Raw genomic sequence first — 18,014 nt, 5'->3', positions numbered from 1 at the left:
TGGTGAAAGGTTGAGTTATTGACCAGAAAATCTTCATTCTCCCTTTCCTCCAGCCCTGTGAAAGAAGTTTACTTTTTCTTTTTTTTTTTCACTTTAAAATTCTTTATTATTTACAAACCAGACTAATATGGCAAAAAGAAAACAGAATTTTTTTTGTTTTTTTTTCTAGGTTTTGAGCAGATGTGCTGGATTTGGGGGGAAGACCACAGATTAGAAAAATTTACAGGATTTCTTTCCAATTGCTTAGCACCCAACAGAGAATCCATCTTTTTATTTATTTATGTATTCATGGTGAATTAATGTGAAGGTAAATTCTGCAGCTTCTCACATTCACTGGTCCTTTGTGATGGAAAATGGTCCACGCTCTACACAATGATTAAATAAATCTTAAAGAATGAGCCTTGCACTGTGGGGAAGACACAGAGAGAAGCGAGAATGGTGCCAAATACCAACAGATGAAAACCTGGCACAGACAACCCTCTGACTTCTCCTTATCTGTGCATATATTCTTCATATTTAACTTCAAAGAAAGCAGCAATATCATGCTTCCTCTTAACATAATATAGCTCTACATTGTATAAACAAAGATGTACTTACTCTCTACCCAAAAAGAAAAAGGTTCTAGTCCCATCAGATACTGTATCCATCTCTGGCAGATGTTGGTTCTTCTACTCAGTTCCAATCTCTCTTAAGTATTCTTGTATTAGCCCATTTTCACGCTGCTGATAAAGACATACAGGAGACTTGGCAATTTACAGAAGAAAGAGGTTTAATTGGACTCACAGTTCCACGTGGCTGGGGAGGCCTCACAATCAAAGGCAAGGAGGAGCAAGTCACATCTCACATGAATGGTGGCAGGCAAAGAGAGAGAGAGGTTGTGCAGGGACACTCCCATTTTTAAAACCATCAGATCTCATGAGATTTGTTCACTATCACGAGAACAGCATGGAAAGACCCCATGATTCAATTATCTCCCACTGGGCCTGCCCACAACAGGTGGGAATTATGGGAGCTAGAAGATGAGATTTGGGTGGGAACACAGAGCCAAACCATATCAATTCTTTAACCTAAAAAATAAACACTTGGTTTAACCACCACCAATATTCCTTATGTATAATTGGAAGAGAAGAGAAGAATCTTAAAAGGTAATTGATTATTGTAAGCAAATATTTACATAAAGCGAAGAGGAAGAGGTGCATATATTTTACAGTGCTCCATTTTGCTTGTTTGCTTATAATTGTTTGTGAGGCCACAAGTGTTATTTAGAACTCCCTTTTTCCACTATCCACACCATGTTCCCTCAGCTTTGGTTTCTCTCCGGTTGGGTAACAAACTTTACATCATGAAATATCAGATCCCTCATGAAACGTGGCCATGGCTATATTTGCTACACTCTTCAATCAACTTAAACTATAAGGAATGGAATTACTAGGAGCCTCTCCCAAAAGAAAAATATTCCCAGATTTCAGATCTGCACCTCTTCGAATTTATTCCCATCCATATTCCTTGAAATTCTAACAACACTAATTACAAATGATTGCTATTATTTTGATAACAATAGGTCAGACCTTGCACACATCTCTCTAGGAAAAACTGAGGTTTCACCTAGAGACAATGAGAGGTGGCAGTGGTGGCTCTTGAGAGACTTCTTGAGGTTGGTTCTTTGCCAGATGACTCTCTCAGATAACATCATTGCAGACTTTAAGCAAAGAGAGATGGGATTCCTCAGGCGTGGAGGAGCTACTTCTGCCTTTAAGGTGTCTCAGTAGAATTGGGCAGATGGTTGGAGGGGAAGACAAGCCGCTCATATTCATTAGAATCACTAATACTAATAGCCCCCGTCTTCTCCAAGCAATAGTATCAAGGGCAGAGCAGCAAAAGTCAGGAAAGACTTCTTCTCTCTAAGGCACAGCACTACTATTCAAGGAAACAAGAAACCACCAGTGTCGCTCAGGCCAGGAACTCACAGGGAAGATCACAGCTGCCCGCAGCACCGCCAACAGGTGTTGCAGTGCCGAATTGCACGTCTGCCCAAACCGTTGATTCTGCCTGTCACTGGCAGGGGAGTGGAAACGGCTTCTGCTTCTCTTCCTCCTTCCAAATCTTGCATGTGTGACTCTCAGAGCAGCATGTAAACCAGAATCCTGCTGGCAAGGAAATGGGGAAAACAAGGCCCCAGGTCCTGTTCTGCACCTGAAATCCCAACGGGGGCATATAAGGGGTTGGAAATAGGGTTGTGTGCTGCAGACACATGTCTGGCCCATCAGGGTTATGTATTCCTCCTACTCATTGATGGATTGATGGTTCTCAGTACTTTTCATGCCACTGCATAGCTTTCTCCAAGTTCCCTACTCATTGCTGTAACCTCAGCACCTACCCCATGGTTTAGCACACAGTAGGGGGTCAGTAAACATTGAATATTAGAAAGTTATTACTTGGGTTCATGACTATGAAAGCCAGACTCTCCACTCTACCCTTTTTTTTTTTTTTTTTTTTTTTTTTTTTTTTGGATACAGAGTCTCACTCTGTCGCCCAGGCTGGAGTGCAGTGGCACCATCTCAGCTCACTACAACTTCTGCCTCCCGGATTCAAGCAATTCTCCTGCCTCAGCCTCCTGAGTAGCTGGGATTACAGGTGCCCACTACCATGCCCAGCTAATTTTTACATTTTTAGTAGAGATGGGGTTTCACCATGTTGGCCAGGCTGGTCTTGAACCTCACTTCAGGTGATCCACCTGCCTCGGCCTCCCAAAGTGCTGAGATTACAGGCGTGAGCCACTGACCTCTACTCTTCTCTTTACTAGAGCAAAGGAATATTTCCATTTCTGTTACCCACTAGGTCAGGGAAGACAGAAACTGCTTTTAATATTTGTTTGCTGCTTGAATTAATCATATGCCCTGAACAATTCACATGGAATTAAACTCCTTGGTCTAGCAAATGGTGTTTACTTCACTAAGGGGAGGAGAAATCTCTATAAAGAAGGTCTACAGCGGAGCCAACCTTATCTGCTGCTACAATTTTCCCCGGTTTTTAAAGGCCTCATTAAAGAGATCGAGGCCATGATTCCACAGGGATTTATAAACTCATCAGGGAAATGTCAGGGAATGAGATAATGAAGACAACACACTATTTGCTGAGTTATCGCCGGAGCCACACTGTATTTGGCTGTGAGCACTGTATATCGTGGCTTAATTAGAAACACCGGTTAACCCAGAGCCAGACTGACATTTTTATCTTGCGGCCACACTTCTAAATTATTCCTCAAATGGAATATGTCATAGCAGCCAAGTTATCCACCCCTGACATTACATGCACGGACCCAACCAGCAGTAGGCCTGGAAGCAAATCAGACTGTAGCATCCTGAGACATTCTCTTATTATTTGAACACTTGTGTTCATTCGTTTAATAAGCAAGCATGGTGCTAGATGCTCTGGAGAATATATTTATAAGAGATCGGGTCCCAAAGTTCCAATGGGATAAACTCAGAGGAAAAATGGACAAGTTGCTTTATCTCTCTGCATCTCAGTTTCTGCTTCTGAAAATGAGGATAACACTAGTTTATACCCCAGAGTGTTGTTGGAAGCAATAAAAGATAAATGACACAAAGCCATACTGTGAAGAATAAATTAGATACATAGATAGAGAGATAGATGATAGATAGATAGATAGATAGATAGATAGATAGATGATAGATAGAAAGATAATAGACAATAGATAGATGGTAGATAGATAATAGATAGATGATAGGTAGATAGATATGTATAGATGGAGAGATAAATAGGATAGGAATAGATAGGTAGATAGATAACAGATAGATATGTATAGATGGAGAGAGAGAAACAGATGAATAGGAATAGATAGATAGATACATACATACATACATACATACATACATAGACAGGTATAGAGGAAGAGATGGATAGATATGTATAGATGGAGAGAAAAAATGGATGGATAGGAATATGGATAGATGAATAGGGATAGATACATAGATAGAGATCAATAGATCGATACATAGATCATAGATAGATATGTATAGATGGAGAGAGAGAAACGGATAGATAGACAGATAGATAGAAATAGATGGATACAGAGGTAGATAAATAGTTATAGATGGATATAGAGATAGATAAGCAGATACAGACAGATGTGATACATATGTATGCATATGTTAGTTATAAATATGTATATATGTAGTTATAAGTATGTATATATGTATTTATGCGTGTGTGTGTGTGTGTGTGTGTGTGTGTGTGTGTGATCTCTCCATGCATCCTAGTTTGTCAGAGACAAGAGGGAGCCCAGCGGAAAGAACCTGCTGAGGCAGACATAAAAAATCTCTGAATTTTGAATGTGTTCCCCACATTCCATAGCACAGCATAAAACATCTGTCATTTGGAAGCGCTTTTCTGTTTGTTTTGGGTTAAATTTTTTTGTAGTTCTATATATTTAGGGAGTGCTAGTGCAGGTTTCTTAGGGAATATATTGTGGAGTGGTGAAGTCTGGGCTTTTCATGTACCCATCACCCGAATAGTGAACATTGTACCCAGTAGGTACTTTTTCAGCCCTCAGCCCCTCCCAGCCTCCCACCTCTCGTAGTTTCCACTGTCTATTATTCTCTCTGTATGTCCACGTGTACCCATTGTTTAGCTCTCACTTACAAGTGAGACTGTGAGGTATTTGGTTTTCCGTTCCTGAGTTATTTCACCTAGGATTATGACCTCCAGTTCCATCCGTGTTGCTACAAACGACAAGATTTCATTTCATTCTTTTTAATGGCTGAGTAGTATTTCATGGTATTTATATAGCACATTTTTAAAATCCAATCTTCCATTGATGGGCACTTAGGTGGATTCCACATCTTTGCTACTGTGAATAATGTTGTGATAAACATACAAGTGCAGGTGTCTTTTTGATATCTTTATTTTCAGAGGCATTTTGAAGCATGAGTGGACTGTGGGAAGGCAGAGATCCATCCATGAGAATGGCATCTCAGGCAAAAGAAATGGCTTGGACAAAGGGGTGGCAGTGTAGAAATACATGCTGTGGATGAGGATAAAAATGCAACAAGCCCCATTTGGTTTGAGCAGAAAATACTACAGGAGAGAGAACTGGATGCAGTTAGGGCATGAATCAGAAATAAGTTTAACTTCCTAAAGGGAAGCAATGAAACGATTTCCATCATATCTGGGACGCGAACAAAGCCCAGAAAGTTTAAGGCATCACTTTGAAGAACTTGAGTGTCATGGTTATGTCACTGGGCCTCTGAGGACTGTGTGGAAATAGTGCTTTATGACTATTGCTGTTAATTAAATATTAAGGAGTAATCGTGTAATTGCCTGATGGATTCTTCTCCCCCACTGCACAGATAGAGCCAATTTACCGAGACAGCAGTATTGCAATAGAGAAAGAGTTTAATAAACACAGAGCCAGCTAAGCAGGAGATAGAAATTTATTACTCAGATCAGTCTCCCTGAAAGCTTGGAAGCTAAGGTTTTCATGGATAATTTGGCCCGGGAGAGGCTAAGCAATGGGTGCTGTTTATTGGTTGGAGATACAATCATAGGGGTGTGGAAAACAGTCCTCGTCTGCTGAGTCAGCCTTTGGGTGGGGACCACAGGACTGGTTGAGTCATGAGTCATGGGTTCAAGTGGAGTTAGTTGTCACAATGCAAAAGTCTGGAAAACATCTCAAAAGGCCCCTCTGAGATTCTACAGTAGTGATGTTATTTATATGAGCAATTGGGGAAGTCACAAATCTTATGACCTGTGGCTTCATGAATCCTGAGTGATTAGGGATTATAAGAAAGCAAGCTATGGAACAATGGCAGGTTATTATTTAACTATGCCTACATCTTAGCAGAATTCAGACCCTTCCTATAATCTCAATTTCGTGGTCTTTCCTGGGTCTTACAAAGGTGGTTTCAGTATCAGGACAAGGAGGGGGTCTGTTTTAGAAAGGGACACTCATCCTTGATTCAGAGTTAAACTATAAATTAAATTTCTCCCATGGTTAGGTTGGTCTATGTCCAGGATTGAACAAAAGCAGCTTGGAGGTTAGAAGCAAGATGGAATGAGTTAGGTGAGATTTCTTTCCCTGTCGTAATTTTTCTATGTCATATTTCTCTCACGGTCATAATTTTTGCAAAATTTGTTTCAATCAAAATGAAGATACCTAAGCTACGACATTTCCAAGTTTTATCAGCATTTCTTCTAGAGATTAAACAGGTGCTGCAGAGAGTTGACCTACAAACCCCATAGGTGGAATGAACAGAAGCTTGTGCCTGGCCCACAAAATGAGCCCATGAGAAAAGGTGACACGTCCTGTGGGCTTCCACGAAGTGTCTCTAGCAGTCATGGTGGCAGCATTCCAGAAGGGGGTAGCTGAGGGTTGCAGGACAGAAAATTCCCAAGGCAGTGGTTTCTTCCAGTTGTGCAGTGGAAGCTTTTTCCTGCAAGAAAGAGCAAAGCAAAGATCAGATTACAAGCAGCAAGGTCAGAATCCATGGGAAGAAGGTTTACAGGCACCTTCCTGCAGAAAGCCAAACATCAGGAACCAGAAAAGAAAGCTTCCTAAAGAAATTCCTGCCAGAAAAGTCAAGACCAGCCCCACCTGGCTGGAATTTCCAGAGACAAATGTTAAACCACAGCCTGCAAATGCAGTTGCATGTTTCAGCCTGGTCTTATCCTCTAGGTGAGGCTAGACCCTGCCTGCCTGGTCCCATGCTTATTACTCTGCACAAAGTAGGTGGACAAGAAGTACCTCTGGAATGACCTGGATGGAGAAAACCGTGCCATGTTCATTTTCGATTTTCAGAGAGGGGTTCACAAGGAAAGTACACTTGTCCAGGAATCAGGAGGTCTGAGTGCCATAGCCCAGTACACAGGCTATGGAACCAGCAAATTTGAGTTCCAATCCAAAACTCTGTCTCTGAACCAGATTAAGAGACAGGGTCCCAGGGCAGGTCAACCTGTCATACTAAATCAGAAATGTGGTCTCTGCTCTGGACTTCTGCTTTGGTGATTTGCCCTTGACATGGTTGGTGATATGCTGATCCTGACCTCATTGAATAAATAGTGAACAAATATTTAAAAGAGGTACAAGACTGGGTATGGTGGCTCACACCTGTAATCCCAAGACTTTGGGAGGCCGAGGCAGGAGAATTGCTTCAACCCCGTTCGAGATCAGCCAACCAACATATCGAGACCACCATCTCTGCAAAATTAAAAAAAAAAAAAATTAGCCAGGTGTGGTGGTGCGCACTTGTAGTCCCAGCTTCTCATAAGTCTGAGGTGGGAGGATACCTTGAGCAGGGGAGGTCAAGGCTACAGTGAGCTATGACTGTGCCTCTACATTCCAGCCTGGGTGACAGCAAGAGTCTGTCTCAGAAAAGAGAGAGAGAGAGAGAGAGAGAGAGAGAGATAAGCATTATAACATTATTTTATGAAATGTTATGAAAAATAAAAATAACAAACATCCTGGGTGCTCTGTCTGCTCTGCTTCTTCTTACTGTTTTATCTTAGGACAGTTATTGAATGCCTCCAAGTCTCACTCTTCTCACCTGCAAGAACGTCATAGGGCCTGTAACCCCAGCACTTTGGGAGGCCGAGGAGGGGATGGATCACTTGAGGTCAGGAGTTCGAGACCAGCCTGACTAACATGGTGAAAACCCATCTCTACTAAAAATACAAAAATTGGCCAGGCGTGGTGGTGGGCACCTGCTATCCCAGTTACTCGGGAAGCTGAGGCAGGAGACTTGCTTGAAACCAGGAACTGGAGGTTGTACTGGGCCAAGATCATGCCACTGCACTCAAGCCTGGGTGACAGAGCGAGACTCTGTCTCAAAAAACAAACAAACAAAAAACAAAATAACAGAATGTAACAGGCAGTGCATTTTTTCCCTAAGGCTGTTTGAGGAGTGAGTGGCGGGTGTTCTGTAAATTGTGATTTTTTATCCTTAGCTCTGCCAGTAGGTGTTTGCTCTTATGTAACTCACTTTTCCTTTCTGAAGTTCAGTGTTCTCATGTGCAAAATGAGGGGTTAAGACTAGATCACCCCTAAGAAATCAAGGTGAGCTCTCTGCTTTTCATTGTGCTGTGTTTCCAAAGCAGTACCTGGTGGGAAAGCAAGCAGTGCCCCACCTGGCAGCAGGAAGAGAGTTGTGCCTCGAGGTTACTGTGTTAGTCCATTTTGAATTGCTATAAAGGAATACCTGAGACTGGGTAATTTAGAGAGAAAAGAGGTTTATTTGGCTCATGATTCTGCAGGCCGTACAAGAAGCATGGTGCCAGCATCTGCTTCTGGTGAGAACCTCAGGAAGCTTCCAGTCATGGCAGAAGGTGAATGGGGAGCCAGTGTATCACATGGAGAGAGAGGAAGCAAGAGAGGAAGAGGAGGTGCCAGGCTCCTCTAAACAACCAGCTCTTCAGTGAACTAACAGAGCAGGAACTCACTCATTACTCTGGGGCAGGCACCAAGCCATTCATGAGGGATCCGCCCCATGACCCACACGCCTCTAACACTGGGGATCATATTTTGACATGAGATTTCAAGGGGACATACTTTCAAATTATATCAGATACTTAGAGTTCTTTCAGATAAAAGCTGAGACCCTAACCTCCCTGATAGCCAAGATACACAAAACTGGTTCTCATAACTTTCAAAAGTGAATTAACTAAAAAGGCAGGCAAGGTATTTTTCTTAGGTGCTTTGTTTGAAGAGAAATCCTTAGAGGGCTTACGTCTCCTTGGAGCATGGTGTCAATTATTCTTAATAGCTTATAATATATTCTTGATAATATTAAGGAAGTGTTCTCTTATTCCTATATGTCTTTCTAAGACCTTAAAATAATAATGGATTGAATTGACAAAACACCCTTTAATATCTACTCATTTATTGATTTATAGACTCATTTTTCAGAGATGGTAATATAAGCTATAGTAATATATTAATGTTTTTCTTAATATTGGTCACTTCTATACTTAAGATAAACCCTTTGTGCTTTTATCTTATTATTTTAATGTATCATTACATTCTACTTATTGACATTGTTATTAATCACATAGTTTTGTATTCACAAGTGAGATTATTCTAAAATACTTTTGGTTATTTTGGTTAGATATTGGGAACAGAAACATCTACCTTATAGGATAATTTTTTTTTAATGGAGTTTCACTCTTGTTGCCCAGGCTGGAGTGCAATGGCACGATCTTGGCTCACTGCAACCTCCACCTCCCGCGTTCAAACGATTCTCCTGCCTCAGCCTCCCGAGTAGCTGGGATTACAGGCGCCGGCCACCACACCCAGCTAATTTTTTGTATTTTTAGTAGAGACAGGGTTTCACTATGTTGGCCAGGCTGGTCTTGAACTCTTGACCTCAGGTGATCTGCCCGCCTCAGCATCCCAAAGTGCTGGGATTACAGGCATGTGCCACCGCGCCCGGCCCATAGGATAAATTTTATAGCTTTCTGTCTTTTTGTAAAGACAGGGAGCAGAAAACGCCCACATTAAATATTTCTCAGTTGTTTCATCCCCTAGTATATTTCAGATTCTTATTTGATCTTATATCAATTTGCCATTGTCAATTTATGTTATGTAAAAATAATATATCTCATTAAGATGTTTCATTATTAATAGAATGTAATTATGTACATCTCATAATTGCATCTGTAATCATGCGTTATAAGTGCATTATTATTTTCTATTGTTACACCTCCTTTTTTCTAATTTCAAGTATTTAGTTTCATTTTTTGAAATTGTTGGCGTTTTATTTATTTATTTTTTGAGATGGAGTCTCACTCTTTTGCTCAGGCTCATAGAAACAATTCATCATTGATCCAAATGTCATTATGTGGCACATGACTGAATATATGTTTCTACAGTGGTTTTGGTGGCAGGGTTTGTTTTATTTGTGTGTGTGTGTGTGTGTGTGTGTGTGTGTGTGTGTGTGTGTGTGTGTTCTGAGACAGAGTCATACTCCATTGTCCAGGCTGGAGTGCAGTGATACGATCTCGGCTCACTGCAATATCCACTTCCCAGGTTCAAGCAATTCTCCTGCCTCAGCCTCTCAATTAGCTGGGACTACAGACATGTGCCGCCACGCCCAGCTAATTTTTGTATTTTTAGTAGAGACGGGGTTTTGCCATGTTGGCCAGGTTGGTCTCAAACTCCTGACCTCAGGTGATCCACCTGCCTCGACCTCCTAAAGCGCCGGGATTACAGGTGTGAGCCACCACACCACACCAGGCCTGTTTCTATAGTGTTTTAAAATAAAAAGAAGTTTTCTTATTTTCTGAATAATCTGTGGTTTTAACCTTGAGTTTTGAGACAATTGTTATTTAATAAAACGTTTGTCAAAATTCTATATTGATTGAATGCTTTTTTTGAATCTTTGTGCTTTTTAGTGTGTATCATATAACCATTTGTATAAATAATCATAAACAAAAGAAAAGACGGTATATTTTCAATGAAGTAAAAAAACCTTATTCTATTCATTCCATCTAATTTACTTTCATTGTTTATATAATTTATATCCATATTTAATTTTTGGATCCTTAATTTGTCATTAACATATAACAATCAAAATCATCCTCTAGGCTGAGTGAGGTGGCTCTCACCCGTAATCTCAGCACTTTGGGAGTCCGAGGTGGGTGGATAACTTGAGGTCAGGAGTTCAAGACAGTTTGGCCAAAATGGTGAAGCTGGTGAAGTCCTGTTTCTACTAAAAATACAAATATTAGCCAGGCGTGGTGGTAGGTGCATGTAATCCCAGCTACTTGGGAGCTGAGGTAGGAGAATCGTTTGAACTGGGGAGGCAGAGGTTGCAGTGAGCCAAGATCATGTCACTGCCCTGCAGCCTGGTCGACAGAGCGAGACTCTGTCTCAAAAAAATATATATGTATATTCTCTAGTTATGAATTGTGTTTCCCATGGGTTGTATTTTATTTATTATATTGATTCAAAGAATAAAACTTTGATAATCTCAAAATTATATTATTGATTATAGATTTTTATCATAAGTAATTTTCCTGTTTGTCATGGTCAATAGTTTTGCCTTAGATGTTATTTTACTATTTTCTATACTAGAATTCACCTTTTCTGTTTAAATTAATATTGCCTTTCTCAACTTTGCTTTCAGACTGTTGAGGTCATTTAGCTTTAGCGAGATGTCTCACAAGCAGCAATTCATTAAACAAATACAGTCCTGTAGTGTGAGAGTCTTCATTTCTTGGCAGTGGAATTTACACCATTAGGTACAAATCATTAGTGTAAGTGCCTCCTTACACTAATAGACTGACAGAGGACTGACAGATCCAGCCTCTGTCAGTCTATTTCATGCTGTATTTTAATATTCTGCTATTGAATCTTCTATTTGGCCTTCTGATGTCTGGGCAATGCTCTACTTGTTTTCATTTTTGTCACTCATTTGGAAGACAAACGTGCAGTTTTGATTCTGCTAGGAATTCCCTTAAAACATTAACACCAAAATTCTCTCTCCATAACTAAGCTCTCTAATAAAAAATAGCTGGTTTTGCTATTTTTATTGGAGAGCTTAGTTATCTTAGCTTTCTGGTCTTTTGTTTTGTTTTGCTTTTGTTTTTGTTTTTGAGATGGAGTTTCGCTCTTGTTGCCCAGGCTGGAGTGCAATGGCGCCATCTTGGCTCACTGCAGCCTCCTCCTCCCGGGTTCAGGTGATTCTCCTGCCTCAGCCTCCTGAGTGGCTGTGATTACAGGTGCCTGCCAGCACACCTGGCTAATTTTTTGTATTTTTAGTAGAGATGGGGTTTCACCATGTTGGCCAAGCTGGTCTCAAACTCCTGACCTCAGGTGATCCACCCGCTTCGGTCTCCCAGAGTGCTGGGATTACAGGCATGAACCACTGTGCCCAACCTATCTTAGCTTTATTTTATGAAAGACAAGGAAATGTATACTTTTCAGCTTTTTTCTTCTCTTCACCCATTCATTTTCACATTTCACAGTACATCTGGGGAGCCTGCAACTCCTCCCCACCCTCACACTGCCCCCTTCAACCCTCCCACACCACACCCTCCACCTCTACCCTCCCCACTCTGCGGTTAATCTGAGTCTGGAAACTGCTTCCCTCAACCCCTTTGATTCTCTTATTCTTTTTCCAGGATCTTTTTTGATCTTTTGCAAATGACTCTATTCTAAGTGTAACTCAAATGTTGGCAGACTTCATCAATGTTTAAATTAAACATGAGGTCACGTGGACACCAATGTCATCAGCAAATTCCCTTCTTTTCTACCCAGCCCAGGAAGAACTCCATCTTTCTCCTTTGGCATCATTTCACCCCAAAATATTTCAGTTCATTTCTTTGGTGGGCAGAATAATGGCCCCCTAAAGATGTTCCTAATCCCCAGAACGTGTGAATATGTTATCTTACATGGACAAAATGACTTTGCAGATGTGATTAAGGTTAAGGACTTTGAGATGAGGGTATCATATCAGATTATCTAGGTGTGCTCAACCTAATCACATGAGTCCTTAAAAGAAACTTTTCCAGCTGAGGTCAGAGTCAGAGAGGGAGGCTGGGCACAGTGGCTCATGCTTATAATCCCAGAACTTTGGGAAGCTGAGGCAGGAGGATTGCTTCAGCCTAAGAGTTTGATAGCAGCCTGGGCAACATAGCAAGACTCCATCTCTACAAAAGAAAAATTTAAAAATTAGCTGGGCATCATGGTGCATGCCTGTAGTTCCCAGCTACTTGGGAGGCTGAAAAAGGAGGATCACTTGAGCACAGGGGGTTGAGGCTGCAGGGAGCTATGATAGCATCACTGCACTCCAGCTTGGGCAAGAGAGCAAGACCCCGTCTGAAAAAAAAAAAGAGTCAGAGAGGGAGCTGTGATTATGGGAGAATTGTCAGAGAGATGCAATGTTGCTGGATTTGAAAACAGAGAAAGGGGTATGAACTGAGAAAAGTGATGTGAGCAGCCTCTAGAAGCTGAAAAGGGCAAGGAAATAGACTATCCCCCAGGGCAGGGGTCCTCAACCCTCAGGCCATGGCCTCTTAGGACTGGATGGCACAGCAGGAAGTGAGTGGAGGGCGAGCAAGTGAAGCTTCATCTGGATTTACAATTGAACCCCTTCACTCACATTCCTTCCAGAGCTCCACCTCCTGTCAGATCAGCAGTGGCATTAGATTCTCACAGGAATGTGAGCCCTATTTTGAACTGCGCATGCAAGGGATCTGGGTTGCATGCTCCTTATGAGAATCTAATGCCTGATAATCTGTCACTGTCTCCCATCAGCCCCAGATGGGACCATCTAGTTGCAGGAAAACAAGCTCAGGGCTCCCACTGACTCTACATCATGAAGAGTTGTATAATTATTTCACTATATATTACAATGTAACAATAGAAATAAAGTGTAATAATAGAATAAGAGAAATAAAGTGCACAATAATGTAATGTGTTTGAATCATCCAGAAACTACCACCCCCACCAACTGCTGGTGGTCCATGAAAAAACTGTCTTCCACAAATTCGGTCCCTGGTGCCAAAGCAGTTGGGGACCGCCACCCTACTGCCTCCAGAAAGAGGAATATGGTCCCCTTGACACCTTGATTCTAGCACAGTGGAACCAATTTCAATTTTCTGACCTACAGAATTGTCAATAATGCATTCGCATTGATTTAAGCCACTAAATCAGTGGTATATCTGGGGGCAGCACTATGAAATTAACACAGTCCCCAGTGCACGCCTTTAGATGGCTTACCAACCAACTGCAGGACCACTCTCCCACCTTTTTCTTCTGCGGCTCTGGTTGGTCAATGTTGGCTGCTCTGGAAGCCACTGGAACAACGTTAACACTGCTAGGATACAGCAGAGAGAGGAAAATGGCCAAGACTGCATCCAAAGGCAAATAGGACCTGGACAGGTTTGGGAATGTTGTCAGGATCAAATGAGTTAATATATGCAAAGTGCTTTCAACAGTGCCTGGCTCGTGGTGGTGTGTTTTAGCTAATACTTTCTCACTTTGAACTCTAGAGGAAGATAATTGAGTTGGCCATACTCCTTACTTCATGTATGCCCTCTGGACTTGTGCATGGCCCATCTTGTTTTTATTCATTCATTCATTCATTCATTCACTCACTCACTCCATTTAATTGCCATTATTCACCCCAGTTCTCTTTTCTTCCCTAAGCAATCATTTTAATGTATCGTTTGCGCGTCTCACCTTTTGAATGTATTCTTACAAAATGCACATTTTAGCTTTGTGTGCATGCAATTTTTAATTTCTGTAAATGCCACTGATCTAGAATAATTTACTTGCATAAGAGCTAGTTTTTTAAGATATAAGCTTGTATCTACAGCCATTGCTTTTAACGACTGCCTAGTAGCCCATGGTATAAATTTATACCATGTGGCTGACCTCTCCACACAGGTACAAAATACTTAACCCTTGAACAACACAGGCATGTCCTAATGAGGAGGTTGCCTCAATGCTGGGCTGGAGCTAGGTCCCAGAGGCTCCTGAAATTCAGAATTTAATATTAAATTGTGGCATCAGGCACAAGATGTGGCTGTATCTTGCCTATCAGCTGAATATCACCCCTTGTGTTAGTCTGTTCTTGCGTTGTTATGAAGAAATACCTGGAGCTGGATACTTTATAAAGAAAAGACATTTGTTTGGCTCACGGTTCTGTGGGCTGTACAGGAACCATGGCACGAGTATCTGCTCCTGGTGAGGCATCAAGAAGCTTCTAAACATGGCAGAAGATATAGAGGGATCTGGCATAACACGTGGCAAGAGAGAGAGCAAGAGAGGGAGAAGAGGGAGGTTCCAGACTCTGTTAAACAACCAGATCTCACATGAGCTAACTGAGAAAGAACTCACTTATCACCAAAGGATGGTGCTAAGCCATTCATGAGGGATCCATACTCATGATCTGATATGGGTGAGCTTTGTGTCCCCACTCAAATCTCATCTCGGATCGTAATTGCCAGGTGTTGAGGAAGAGACCTGGTGGGAGGTGATAGGATCATGGGGGTGGTTTTCCCCATGCTGTTCTCATGATAGTGAGTTCTCATGAGATCTGATGGTTTTATAAGTGTTTGGCAAGTTTTTCCTATGCTCACACTCTCTCCTGCCACCTTGTGAAGAGGGAGCCTGATTCCTCTTCTGCCATGATTGTAAGTTTCCTGAGGCCTCCCCAGCCATGCTGAACTGTTAGTCAATTAAACCTCTTTTATTTATAAATTACCTAGTCTCGGGTAGTATCTTTACAGCAGTGTGAGAATGGACTAATACATGATTCCATCACCTCCCACCAGGCCCCACCTCTAACATTGGTGATCATACTTCAGCAGGAGATTTGGAGGGGACAAGCATCCAAACTATATGACCCCTGCCTATCCCTACCTCTACACTTCTAGTAATGAATTCCCACGTTGCCTCCAACTTCCTCACCATAAACCATAATGCAAAAAACTTCCTCGTACAAGTCACATTATGGACCCTGAGATAGATACCAGGCAAGGAATTGCTGAGTCACGTGTATGCATATATATAATTTGTATGAGTAATACCACAATGGTCGTACCAGTCCACCCTCCCACCAGCGGAGCATGTGGTCTCCCATAGCCCCATGTCCCCACCAGCTCTCTAATAGTCACCTAGTTCAGTAAGCACGAAGAAGTAGCTCACTGTGGTTTGAATTTGCATTTGTCTTTTTTTTAATTTTAATTTTAATTTTTATTTTTTTTGAGACTGAGTCTTACTGTGTCGCTGTGTTGCCCAGGCTGGAGTGCAGTGAAGTGATCTCAGCTCACTGCATCCTCCGCCTCCCAGGTTCAAGCAATTCTTCTGTCTCAGACTCCCGAGTAGCTGGAATTACAGGTATGTGCTACTACGCCCTGCTAATTTTTGTATTTTTAGTAGAGATGGGGTTTCACCATGTTGGTCAGGCTGGTCTCGAACTCCTGACCTCTTGATTCGCCCACCTCAGCCTCCCAAAGTGCTGGGATTATAGGCATGAGCATTTGTCTTATTTCTAATTACCAATAACCTTGGGCTCTCATCTTATGGTCAAAAACTTGGTGGCTTCCCATTCTACAAATATCCTTCTCACAGCAACTCTCCATTTAAAAAAAATGGGGTTGCTCTCTTTTTATCACTGACAGGCAGGAGTTTCTTATACAAAAATGTCAATGTATTTGTCAGAGGTGCTATCTCCTAATGCTTCCAAAACTACAAATTCTCAGAGGGCCAGCCCTGCACTAAAGACTGTGTCAAGATGGGGAGATTGACTCTCTTAATGACTCTGTGTCAAACACTTTGGAGTCACCTGAACCCCAAAGTAGCAGTGTTTATGCTCAGAGTCTCTAAAAATCTCTTTTTTTGAGACGGGGTCTTGCTATGTTGCCCAGGCTGGAGTGCAGTGACGTGATGATGGCTCACTGCAGCCTCAACCTCCCAGACTCAAGCTACCCTCTCACCTCAGCCTCCTGAGTAGCAGGGACTACAGGCACACAAAACTATGCTTGGTTAAATTTTGCTTTTTTTTCTATTTAGAGACAGGGTTTCACCATGTTGCCCAGTCTGGTCTCGAACTTCTGAGATCAAGCAATCCACCCACCTTGGCCTCCCAAAGTGCTGGGATTACACTGCGCCAAGTCTGAAATCTCTTAATGGAAGCCTTTATATGACTGCTGTCCTTCATCTACTGGCTGAAAAATAGGATTGAAACAAATACCGCTGAAACAGCCACACTGAAAGAAGGGGGCAGTATTTTGTGGTCTAAAGTAAACCATAGCTCAGCCAACCAAAATGCCTTTATGTTGTATCAGTCCTACAGAGTTATCAACCCCAACAATTCCCTCATTAGTGGTTATAGTATTTTAGTACTTCTACCATGTCCATGATTTTTCACTTCTTTTTTTTAAAAAACCTCAAATTCCTCACCTGTGACGACTTTCTTAGACTCAGCTCTCTGTGGTCTCATAATAGGAATCTGGTGAAGAAAGAGCTTCATGTGCAAATAAGATGGGGAAATCTAGATTCAGTAAACATTTTTTTTTTAATGAGGACTTTCTCATTATGCACATTATGTGGATTTTAGGAACATAATTGAGGAAGCATTAGTGTGGGAAAATGAGCACTATTCTTAGAGGAAAGGGTTCTCTCGTCTCTTCTCTAGCACCTATCACGCTGCAGTTTGGGCATAACCATTAATGATTCTGCAGCCTCAGTTACTGAATCTGCAGAATGGGGCAATAATATAGTTGTCCACAAAGGCAGGGGATTTAACAAGATGTTTGACTGAGTTTCTGCTCAAGCCTAAGATGCATTCATCTCTAAACCTTTCTTCCTCTGATCCTTCGGCCTCACACTCAGCCCTTTTGGAAAATATTTGATAGGAAAAACTGAGACGCCACAGCAGCTGTGACCGGCGACGCTTGAAACAAAACCTTTGTTGATTTAGTTGCGCTTCTGTAAACCCCGGATGGGATGCTGCTGGAAGCCCAGTAGTAATTGTACATCTGGACTTCCCACCTCCTGCTCCAACAGACTGTCGTTGGCAGAAACATGTGGTCCATTGGCACAGACCGTGTTTCCCATCACAGCTTATCTGAGCAGTGTTGAAAGGTTCAAAGTTATTATTTACAGCTCAGTGAGGAGAGGGCAGAGAGTCAGAAGCTGTGGATGAGATCCACGCTGCAAATGCTACTCACGGAGAATGACAGCGTCTGAGATGCCTAAGGGGCAGAGAAAGGGATTCTTAGCAACTCCCCATGTCTCAGAGAGCCGCACAAGCTATGCTTCCCGCCCTCCAGAAGCCTCCTCTGCTGAATGCGGCCAACATTGATTCCTTCCCTTCCTCACCGACCCTATTCCATATTAGGGTGACCAACTCATCCCTGATTGCCTGGGACTTTCTTGGTTTTCGTACTAAAAGTCCCATGTCCCAAGAAACTCCTCAGTACCTGGTAAGCAGAGCTAGTGGGTCACCCTGCCCATACTGTCGAGATGAAGCATTTTTGTCATTGACTAT

At 42.0% G+C, this 18,014-nt stretch overlaps 1 annotated feature.

Moving 5' to 3' along the window:
- Nucleotides 5,402–6,601: an enhancer, noted in NCBI's record as "CDK7 strongly-dependent group 2 enhancer chr7:67583393-67584592 (GRCh37/hg19 assembly coordinates)". NCBI's record gives its function as "activates an origin of replication core promoter dependent on BRD2, BRD4, P300/CBP, MED14 and CDK7 cofactors, with strong dependence on CDK7, by STARR-seq in HCT116 cells {active_cell/tissue: HCT116}" and the evidence as "EXISTENCE:reporter gene assay evidence [ECO:0000049][PMID:35650434]".

This window comes from Homo sapiens, chromosome 7 (assembly GCF_000001405.40).
Source record: "Homo sapiens chromosome 7, GRCh38.p14 Primary Assembly".
Lineage (NCBI taxonomy): Eukaryota > Metazoa > Chordata > Mammalia > Primates > Hominidae > Homo > Homo sapiens.
This window is presented reverse-complemented; position numbering and strand designations above follow the sequence as displayed.